The 10,564-nt window shown below is 47.5% G+C and overlaps 1 annotated feature.

The window, feature by feature from the left end:
• Positions 5,582–5,651: a silencer, noted in NCBI's record as "silent region_365". NCBI's record gives its function as "represses an Ori minimal core promoter by ATAC-STARR-seq in GM12878 lymphoblastoid cells {active_cell/tissue: GM12878}" and the evidence as "EXISTENCE:reporter gene assay evidence [ECO:0000049][PMID:35858748]".

Consider the following 10,564-nt stretch of genomic DNA (forward strand, 5'->3'; position numbering starts at 1 on the left):
TTCCCCATCTGCTAGCTGAATGGAGGGGACACTGAGGACCTAGAGGAGGGCAGAGCCACAGGTAGAAGGGGACTGGGTCCCTGAAGACCACATAGAGAGGTGAGCCCCTGGCCCCCACCTGTTAGACTTTACGGGGAGGCACGGCTCATCACTGTGCGTGAAGACCAGTGGGTGGTGGTTTGCAATCCATTTTAGGCAGCAAAGAGAAGCCAGGGGCTTTTAGGGATTTCTTTAAAGATTTCTCCATGCCACAAGTCTATTTTTTTTCCCTGATTTCTCCCACCTGCTACTCCAAATCCCTCATTCATCTATTTATTTGTTCATTCAGGAAATATTTACTGAGCACCTAGTATATCCCAGGCACTGTTCTAGGCACTGGAGATACAGCAGTGCCTAGAACTGCTAGGCAACAACCCCAGCCCTCAAGAAGCTAGTAAGCAAGAACAGACAATAAACAAAATGATAAGAAAAGATCAACACCTGTGGGTTTTTTGTCTGTTTGTTTTGAGACAGAGTCTCACTCTGTCACCCAGGATGGAGTGCAGTGGCACGATCTCAGCTCACTGCAACCTCTGCCTCCCAGGTTCAAGCGATTCTTCTGCCTCAGCCTCTCGAGTAGCTGGGATTACAGGCGTGTGCCATCATGCCCGGCTAATTTTTGTATTTTTAGTAGAGATGGGGTTTTGACATGTTGGCGGGGCTGGTCTCAAACTCCTGACTTCGAGTGATCTGCCTGCCTTGGCCTTCGAAAGTGCTGGGATTACAGACGTGAGTCACCCATCTTGCCCAGCCAAGATCAACACCTGTGAAATGAAGGGAAGGAAAAGTAAGAGCGTTGTTACAAACCCACTTTACAGATGAGAAATCTGCAGAACAAACAGGTTAGGTGACTTAAGCTAATGTAATTTTGGCTAACTGTAATAAAAGACATGCAGCTGAGAGCTCAGTCAAAGATGAACTTGACATCTTGCCATTTCACAAGGCGGTGTCTTGGTTCCTCCAGGTGAGGACTTAATTGCCTTTGGAAGACAGTGGAGATACTGAGGCTGTGAGCAAAGGATTTCTGTTCCCCTCTGCCTTTAGTAACTCTGGGTAATGGAGCAGATTTCTTGCCCTTTCTGATCCTCAGTTTCCTCACCTGTAAAACATGGATAATAAAGTTCTAACCTCTGGCCGGGCGCGGTGGCTCATGCCTGTAATCCCAGCACTTTGGGAGGCCAAGGCAGGTGGATCACGAGGTCAGGAGATCGAGACAATCCTGGCTAACACAGTGAAAGCCCATCTCTACTAAAAATAGAAAAAATTAGCCAGGCGTGGTGGTGGGCGCCTGTAGTCCCAGCTACTCAGGAGGCTGAGGCAGGAGAATAGCGTGAACCTGGGAGGCAGAGCTTGCAGTGAGCCAAGATCGTGCCACTGCACTCCAGCCTGGGCGGCAGAGCAAGACTCCGTCTCAAAAATAAATAAATAAATAAAATAAAATAAAGTTCTAACCTCTGTGGTAGATTGCTTGGTACTGGTCCTAATAAACAAGTTTTCCCTTGTGTGGTCTCCTTTCACATTGACTCTGGGCTTGGCTATGTGACTTCCTTTGGTAATGGGACATCAACAAACACAACTCAAGTGACGGCTTGAAAAATGTCATAAGGCTTGCTATTGTGGAGCTCTGCCATCATGTGAAAGAAGCCCAGGCTGGCCTGCTGGAGACACGTGTCCCAGCTGACTTTCAGCAGCAGCCACCAGACACATGAGTGAGGCCATCTTAGCCCCAGTTGTGCTGCTGGATGATTGCACATGAGCAACCCCAGGGAGATCAGCGAATGAACCACCCAGCTGAGCCCAATCCAAATTGCTGGCCTACAGAATTATGGGCCAAAAAAAATAGTTGTTCTTTTAAGCCACTACATTTTAAGGTGGTTTTTTATGCAGTAACAGATAATTGATTCAACAACTTCAAGGAGCGTTTCTGAGGATCGAATGAGGAAATGCATTGAAAGCATTTAAAATCTTTTTTGGCACAAAACGATAGCCCCAAAATATAGTTATTATTGTCACTATATCATTTAGAGCCAAGTTTCTTCATTTTTGGAACGCTCTATGTTGGCCTTTGTAGTTACTCAAGTATAAAATGATAGATACTGGAGAATTCTGTAAGGTCACACTAAATCTATCTATAGTGGCTGTGGGTTTGGGAGGTTAACAGTTGCCTTGGGTGGACATTAGTCTGACTACTCTTAAGAACGAAGAAGGAAAGACTGGGGAGAAGAGAAGAATTCCAGATAGTGAATCATCACTCCCATCAGGAGTCATTTAAGATTAAGGAACCAAGATTGGCAGCTGTCATATGGGCTTTTTGGTCTCTTATGGAGCCCCAGAGATTGCCCTAAACTACACTTTGGGGGTTTCCTCTCTCCCTTCTTTCTATGTTTTTTGAGCCTCTACTGTGTGCCAGACACAGATCTAGCTGCCCAGACAAAGCAGGATACAAGATAGACATTCATCTATTGTTATAGACAGACAGTAAACCCATAACGAATGTTACCAGACAGCAATAAGTGCCTGAAGAAAATTGAGCCAGGTAATGGAACAGTGATGAATGATGGGATGTGCAGTTAAGGAGGGCCTCTTGGAGGTGGTATTATTTGAAGACACCGGGGAAGAGACATCCAGGTAGTAAGAGCAGCTTGTGCAAAGATCCTATAATGAGATTCACCTTGATATGTCTAAAACCTCCTTGGGACTAGATGTGGATAGTGGATGGTGGGAAACTTACAGGGGATGGGACCATGGAGGTGGGCAGGGCCAGGCTATGACGAAGGTTTGAGGTTCCAGTCTAGGTGTCGGGATACCTCTGGGATATTCATGTTTCGGAAAGCACACTCAGGCCACTTTTTAAAGGATAGGATTGGGAGGAGGATGCCATAGTGGAAAAAGCAGTAGGAGAGGAAGCAGGAGAACCTGTCAGCAAGCCCCTGAGAGGGTCCAGGTGAAAAATGATGGTATCTTGGACCAGGGCTCTAACATTGAAGATGGTGACAAGTGGCTGGATTCAAAACAGGTTTGTTTTTTGTTGTTGTTTATTTCAATAGTTTTGGGGAAACAGGTGATGTTTGGTTACATGAATAAGTTCTTTAGCGGTGATTTCTGAGATTTTGGTGCACCCATCATCCGAGCAGTGCACACTGTACCCAATGTGTAGTCTTTTATCCCTCACCCCCTCCCACCCTTCCCCCCAAGTCCCCATTGTATCATGCCTTTGCATCCTTATAGCTTAGCTCCCACTTTGAAGTGAGAACATAAGATGTTTGGTTTTCCATTCTTGAGTTATTCACTTAGAATAATGGTCTCCAACTCCATCCAGGTTGCTGCAAATGCCATTATTTCATTCCTTTTCATGGCTGAGTAGTATTCCATGGTGTGTGTATATATATATACCACATTTATATATACATATGTGTATATATATCACATTTATATATGTATATATATCACATTTATATATATGTATATATATCACATTTTCATATATATATGTATATATAAAACATTTTCTTTATCCACTTGTTGACTGATGGGTCAAAACAGGTTTCGAAGGTAGAGCCAGGGCATGGAGATAGATCGAATGTGGGGGTGAGGGAAACAAGGCATTCAGGGGCACTTCTCGACTTCTAGCCCAAGTCACTGGGTGACTGGTCATACCTTTAGCTGAAGCATAGACTGGGGTGGGGTGGGAACAGGTTCAGGGTTGAGTGAGAAGAGAAACAGAAGTTGCTTTAGATCTTCCTGCATTAAGAGGCTAATTAGACATCCAAGTGCAGAGGTCAAGTGGACAGTTGGATCCATGCAAGAGCTTCCAAGAGCAAGGCACACAGGTGTAGGAATGATGATTCTAAAATGGCATCTCAAGCTATAATTGTGGATGAGATCACCTTGGAGAGAAGGAGCAAATGTAGACAGAAGCCAAGAGACCTTAAGACTGAGCTATGAGGCACTGCCCTTTGGTAGCTGAGCAGAAAAGAAGGTAGGCAAGGATTGAGAAGGCAGAGAAGTAGGAGGAAAACCAGGAAAACGTGGCATCCTAGAAGCCCAGTAAAGAAAAGAAAACATTAGGAGCCTGAGGCGGGAAGATGCTTGAGCCCAGGAGTTTGAAGTAACATTGAGCTATGATCTTGCCACTGCACTCCAGTCTAGGCAACAGAGCAAGACACTATCAAAGAAAGCAAGCAAGAAAGCAAGGAGAGGAGGGGAAGGGAGGGAAGGGGAGGGGGAGAAGGGAAGGGAAGGGAAGGAAAGGGAAGGGGAGAGGAGAAGGGAAGGGAAAGGAAGGAAAGGAAAGGGAAGGGGAGGAGAGAGGAAGGAGGAAGGAAGAAAGAAAGAAAGAAAGAAAAGAAGAGAAAGTGGAAAGAAAACAAGAAACCAGGAGTTGACACATCAGATAATCTTCAAAGTTGCAAATGATGGTGTCAGATCTTAGCAAGAGCCATCTCAGCATCTTGCTGGGGATCAAAGCCTTAGCAGGAATACATTATGGGCAACAGAGCGAGACTCTGTCTCAGAAAAAAAAAAAAAAAGAAAGAAAGAAAAAGAAAAAGAAAGGAAAGGAAACAGGAAACAGGAAACAGAGACAGAGAGAGGGGATTTCACTATGAGCAGCTAAAAGAGGTGGAAGCTGGAGGGAGACTGAGGTCAAGGAAACCAACTTTAGTCAGTCTCTCGTCCCTGTTCCAGCATATGGTCTATTAAACACTAGAAAAGGCAGGCACCATGGGAGAAGCTGCAGGCACAGTGGGGCATGGGACTGTCACCTCCTCAGGCCAAAAGGCCTTCTCTATTCTTCCTACCTAAAGCGGAACCCCTGTGCTAGTCCCTGTAACCCCTAAGATGCTCTTCCCAGCATCCTCCTTCACGAGTCCTGGAACGAGACCCCATACCTTTGACATTCTTATCTATAGGGTATTTTCTCATTCATATCTATAGGGAAAGAGAGTTGACAGCACCTCTGAGCCATCATTCAAGCTGTTCCCTCTTCTTGGCATGCTCTTCTCTGCTCAACTCCTGCCAAACGACTCATCCGTCAAGATCCAGCTTATGTTTATGAAGTTGGAGAGGCCTCTCTGGGGAGACTGACTCTGAATTACTTGTTACCTCCTTCATTTGTAATTGAAGTCATGACTTGGCCTTAAAGGAAAAACCTGAGTGCCCAAAGAACAACCTATGGGGGCCCTGACCCAGCCTGGGTGGTCAGAGAAGGCCTCCTGAGGAGCTGACATTTGATGTGAGCCCTGAAGGAAAGTGTTTCAGGGAAAACCCTCCCCGGCTCCAGGAACAGCAAGTGCAAAGGCCCCGAGGCAGCAAGGAGTTCAGCACCTGCAGATCTGGACAAGTGATTGGGATAGTGATGGCTTGGGAGCCACAGCTTGTGCAGGGACATTTGAAAGAAATCGGGTGTGGAACGTCGAGGGAAGAAGACTGGGGGAGGGAACAGGGGTCCAGAGGAGGGAGCCGGGTCCCCGCAGTCTGCACTGTCTCAAAGCCAGCACTTGGCAGAATGCCTAGCTCCTTTCCGCAGCTCACGTCCTCCATCCCTGAACGGCCCCGGGGTCCAGTAGGGGGCGCACTCACCCTATCTCGGTGGAATGTTGTTTAAAAGGACTGATGGGGAGGAAGTGACAGGGGACCATTCAGCTGGGCGGGAGTGGGTAGAAGAAAAGAAGAGGGACCAGGCCTTTCTCTAAGGGAGGCAGGGGCACAGCAGGCCTGTTGTATATGGGTCTTGGTCCTTTCATTGGCACCCCCTGGGCCCTTTTCAACCTGCCCATCCTCCATTCCAGGGGAGAGTCTCATCTGTGGATGGGCTTTATTGCAGGCAGAACCTGGTCCGTGTAAAAACCCATCTTGGAATCTTCGCTGGCAGGAAGGGCCCCTCACAGATCGCTGTTCCTCACCCTGGGATGAGCCCCTACCCAGGGTCCTCTCAAAGTCCCTCTCTCCCACTCACTGGTCTCCACCCCCGGCAAGTCCCTCAGCATGGAGGCTGGGGAAGGAGGGCATGTCATGTCCTGGGCCCTACAAGGGCATGGCCTGCCTGCCTGACCCCACAGCTGGTATGGCAAAGGGACCCTCTGCACCCATCCCCAACCCATGCCTCACAGCCTCACCCCACAGGGAGTAGGAAGCCCCTCTCTTTAAAGGACAAGGGCTTGGCCGGGCATGGTGACTCATGCCTGTAATCCCAGCACTTCAGAAGGCCGAGGCAGGCAAATCACCTGAGGTCAGGAGTTCAAGACCAGCCTGGCCAACATGATGAAACCCCGTCTCTGTCAAAAATACAAAAATTAGCCGGGTGTGGGGGTGCATGCCTGTAATCCCAGGGACTTGCCATAGCCTGGAACTCTCCCCAGCATCCTCCTCTGCAGGCCCCGGAACAAGACCACATACTTTCGACATTTTAAAGATTCCATCATTAATATCTATGGAGAAATAGGGTGGGCAGCACCTTGAGCCATTGTTCAAGCTGTTCCCTCTTCTTTTTTTTTTTTTTTTTTTTTTTTTGAGACGGAGTCTCGCTCTGTCGCCCGGGCTGGAGTGCAGTGGCGCAATCTCGGTTCACTGCAAGCTCCGCCTCCCAGGTTCACGCCATTCTTCATGCCACCACACCCAGGTAATTTCTGTATTTTTAGTAGAGACAGGGTTTCACCATGTTGGCCAGGCTGGTCTTGACCTCTTGACCTCAAATGATCTGCCTGCCTTGGCCTCCCAAAGTGCTAGGATTATAGGCGTGAGTCACTGTGCCCGGCCAGAAGCAGAAATTTGAGGTCCTGGATTCAAGACAAAAAAAAGAGAGAGTGCTTCTCAATAGCATATTTAAAATAAGATAAAATGCACCAGGCTTGCTCCAGGATGTAAGGCCCTTGCTGTGGCTGTCCCCTTTGCTGGGAACACCCTTCCCTAGATATCTGCTTGGCTCTCACCCCCTCACCTGCTTCAACTATTTGCTTCTCAATGAGGCCCACACTGACTACTTGACTGAATACCATGTTCTGCCCCTCTCCCCCAGCATTACCTGTCCCCCAGCCCTGCCTACTTGTCCCTTTTTTCCATGGAACTTATCACCTCCTCACATACTCTATAACGTATGTATTTGTTATGCTCATTTTTATTACCTTTCTCCCCTGTTAGAAGGTAAGCTTGGCCGGGTGCGGTATCTCACGCTTGTAATCCCAGCACTTTGGGAGGCCGAGGCAGGTGGATCACTTGAGGTCGGGAGTTCAAGACCAGCCTGGCCAACATGGTGAAACCCCGTCTCTACAAAAATACAAAAGTTAACCGGGTGTAGTGGCATGTGCCTGTAATCCCAGCTACTTGGGAGGCTGAGGCAGGAGAATCACTTGAACCCAGGAGGTGGAGGCTGCAGTGAGCTAAGATCTTGCTACTACACTCCAGCCTGGGTAACAGAGCGAGATTCCTTCTCAAAAATAGAAATTAAAAAAAAAAAGACGGAATTCCTTGAGGGCAGGAATATTTGTCTGCTTTGATCACTGATGCATCCTAAGAGCATACAACAGTGTTTGGCACACAGTAGTTACTCAATAAATATGTGTTGAATTGTTGAATGTATACACAGAAAAAGCAGTAGAAATTTGATTCCAAAGTCTTTGGAAAAGTAACTGAACCATGCCCCATTAAATAAGCATTGGCTTTCCAGTGTGCTGATATTCTTACATGATACATGTGGAGATATATTGTTCTTCAGCACACTTTTCTTTTTTTTTTTTTTTGAGACGGAGTCTCACTCTCTCGCCCAGGCTGGAGTGCAGTGGCGCGATCTCAGCTCACTGCAAGCTCCGCCCCCGGGGTTCACACCATTCTCCTGCCTCAGCCTCCTGAGTAGATGGGACTACAGGTGCCCACCACCAAGCCCAGCTAATTTTTTGTATTTTTAGTAGAGACGGGGTTTCACCGTGGTGTTGATCTCCCGACCTCGTGATCCACCGCCTCGGCCTCCCAAAGTGCTGGGATTACAGGCATGAGCCACCACGCCCGGCCTCTTCAGCACACTTTTATTTATTTATTTACTTATTTTATTTTTTGAGACAAGGTCTCACTCTGTCACTCAGGCTGGAGTGCACTGGCACAATCAAGGCTCACTGCAGCCTTGGCCTCTCAGGTTCAACGATCCTCCTGCCTCAGCCTCCTGAGTAGCTGGGACTTCAGGTGCACGCCACCACACCAGTTAGTTTTTAAATTTTTTGTAGAGACAGGGTCTCCCTCTGTTGCCAAGGCCAGTCTTGAACTCTTGGGCTCAGGTGATTCTTCTGCCTTGGCCTCCCAGAGTGCTAGGATTACAGGCATGAGCCACCACACCTGGCCAGCACAATTTTTTAAAGAGGTAAAAGTATGAGTTAGGAATGATTCACTTCCAGTTCTTGACAATACCACAAACCAGCAAGGTCACTGCCTCCCTCCCTGCCTCGTCAGCCCTTTCCCTGGGAGCACCACAGAAAACCTACTTGGTAGTAGAGCGGCAGGGGCCAGAGGAAGTGAGAATATTCTAAGGTGCTGTCTTGTTGAGAAAGAAAGTATATATGTCGATAAACTTGATAAATTGACAGGGGAAATTAACATAAATACAAACAATAATTATGGCTAACCACTAAAGAAAGAAAAAGAAAAGGAATAATTTTCAAATGAGTAGAAGGAAAAGTGTCAATGTAATAAAAGGCAGAAAAAGAGGGGGTAAGGGAGAAAAAAATATATAGTGATTGGTCAGGGTTCCATTGCAGACAACAGCGTCCACCCAGCAGGCCCAATAGGAATGGGTTGACGAGGGTGATCGGGTTGGTTTCAGACACGTTGGAAGGGTTGAGAGGCCAACTCTAGGCTGAGCTTCCAGGAATAACCCTTGAATCTCACTGTAAAATGAGCCTAGCTGGAGAGCTTCTGCCACTGCTGCTGACTCAAGACCCTCGCTACCCATGTTGCAGTGCAGGAGGCTCCACGTCACAAAGCTGCTGACACCCGCTTAGCACCAAGAAGCCAGAAGTTGATCTGGAATTAGGGCCTCCGCTGCAGCCACCTCAGAACAACCGAAACGCTTCCACCACGATGCAGCCAGAAGAACCGTGTGGCCACTTCCTCCCAGTACCTTCCCTTTCTGGTTTGTTTGCATTTTCTTGGCAGAAGCCAGGTGACACGTGGAAATCCTAGCTGCATGAGAGTCTGGAAATGTCCTCTCTAGCCGTCCAGCCTCTAAAGTACAAGAAGTCATGATGGAAAGAAGGAGGTTTGGAGAGGGGCTGAGTTGGGTCGGTCTTTGGCCCTTGCCACAGTCCACTCACTCTTAGTCACTCAACCTCCATTTCCAAGCTGCATTCCCTTCTTAAACTTCCATGAAACAACCACAACGTGTCACCACCCACAGTAATGCAAACGTACCTCAATCAGACAAGAAACACTCTTATTCTTTGCTCAGACAGGAACATCCAAAGCCCCAGCAGTTACTGCTTCCATCTCCCACTCCAGGGAACTTGGGTGATGTTCACTTCTTCTCTGGTTTAGTCACAATCCCAGGTTGATATCCTATAATCTATACATTCAATTGTAAAGTTTACTACCAACAAACCATGTTATTCAAAATGGTAGAGGAAGAAAGGGGAATAATTAAAACCGTCAATAAATATATGCATGACAGGCCAGGCGTGATGGCTCATACCTATAATCCCAGCAATTTGGGAGGCCGAGGTGGGCTGACCACTTGAGGCCAGGAGTTCGAGACCAGCCTGGCCAACATGGCAAAAACTCATCTCTACTAAAAATGCAAAAATTACCCGGGTGTGGTGGCACGTGCCTATAATCCCAGCTACTCAGGAGGCTGAGGCACAAGAATCGCTTGAATATGGGAGGCAGAGGTTGCAGTGGGCCAAGATCGCACCACTGCACTTCAGTCTGGGCAACAGAGCGAGACTCTGTCTCAAAAAAAACAAAGAAAGTACATACAATATAATATCACAAATATTTTAACTATTCTGATAGCTATTTCAATACAATTATTTTGCTTTATAATTATGTGCATTTAAAACTGTTATTTTGGCTGGGAGCAGTGGCTCATGCCTGTAATCCCAGCACTTTGGGAGGCTGAGGCAGGCAGGTCACGAGGTCAGGAGTTCGAGAACAGCCTGGCCAACATGGTGAAACCCTGTCTCTACTAAAAATACAAAAATTAGCCGGGCATGGTGGCACGCGCCTGTAATCCTAGCTACTCAGGAGGCTGAGGCAGGAGAATCGCTTGAACCCAGGAGGCAGAGGTTAGAGTGAGCCGAGATCGTGCCATTGCACTCCAGCCTGGGCAACAGAGTGAGACTCCATCTTAAAACAAAACAAAACAAAACAAAAACTTATTTTGGCTAGGCGCGATGGCTCATTCCTGTAATTCCAATACTTTGGGAGGCCAAGGCGGGTGGATTACCTGAGGTCAGGAGTTTGAGACCAGCCTCGCCAACACAGTGAAACCCTGTCTCTACTAAAAATGCAAAAATTACCCAGTCATGGTGGCACGTGCCTATAATCC

Source organism: Homo sapiens, chromosome 1 (assembly GCF_000001405.40).
Source record: "Homo sapiens chromosome 1, GRCh38.p14 Primary Assembly".
NCBI classification, from domain to species: Eukaryota; Metazoa; Chordata; class Mammalia; order Primates; family Hominidae; genus Homo; species Homo sapiens.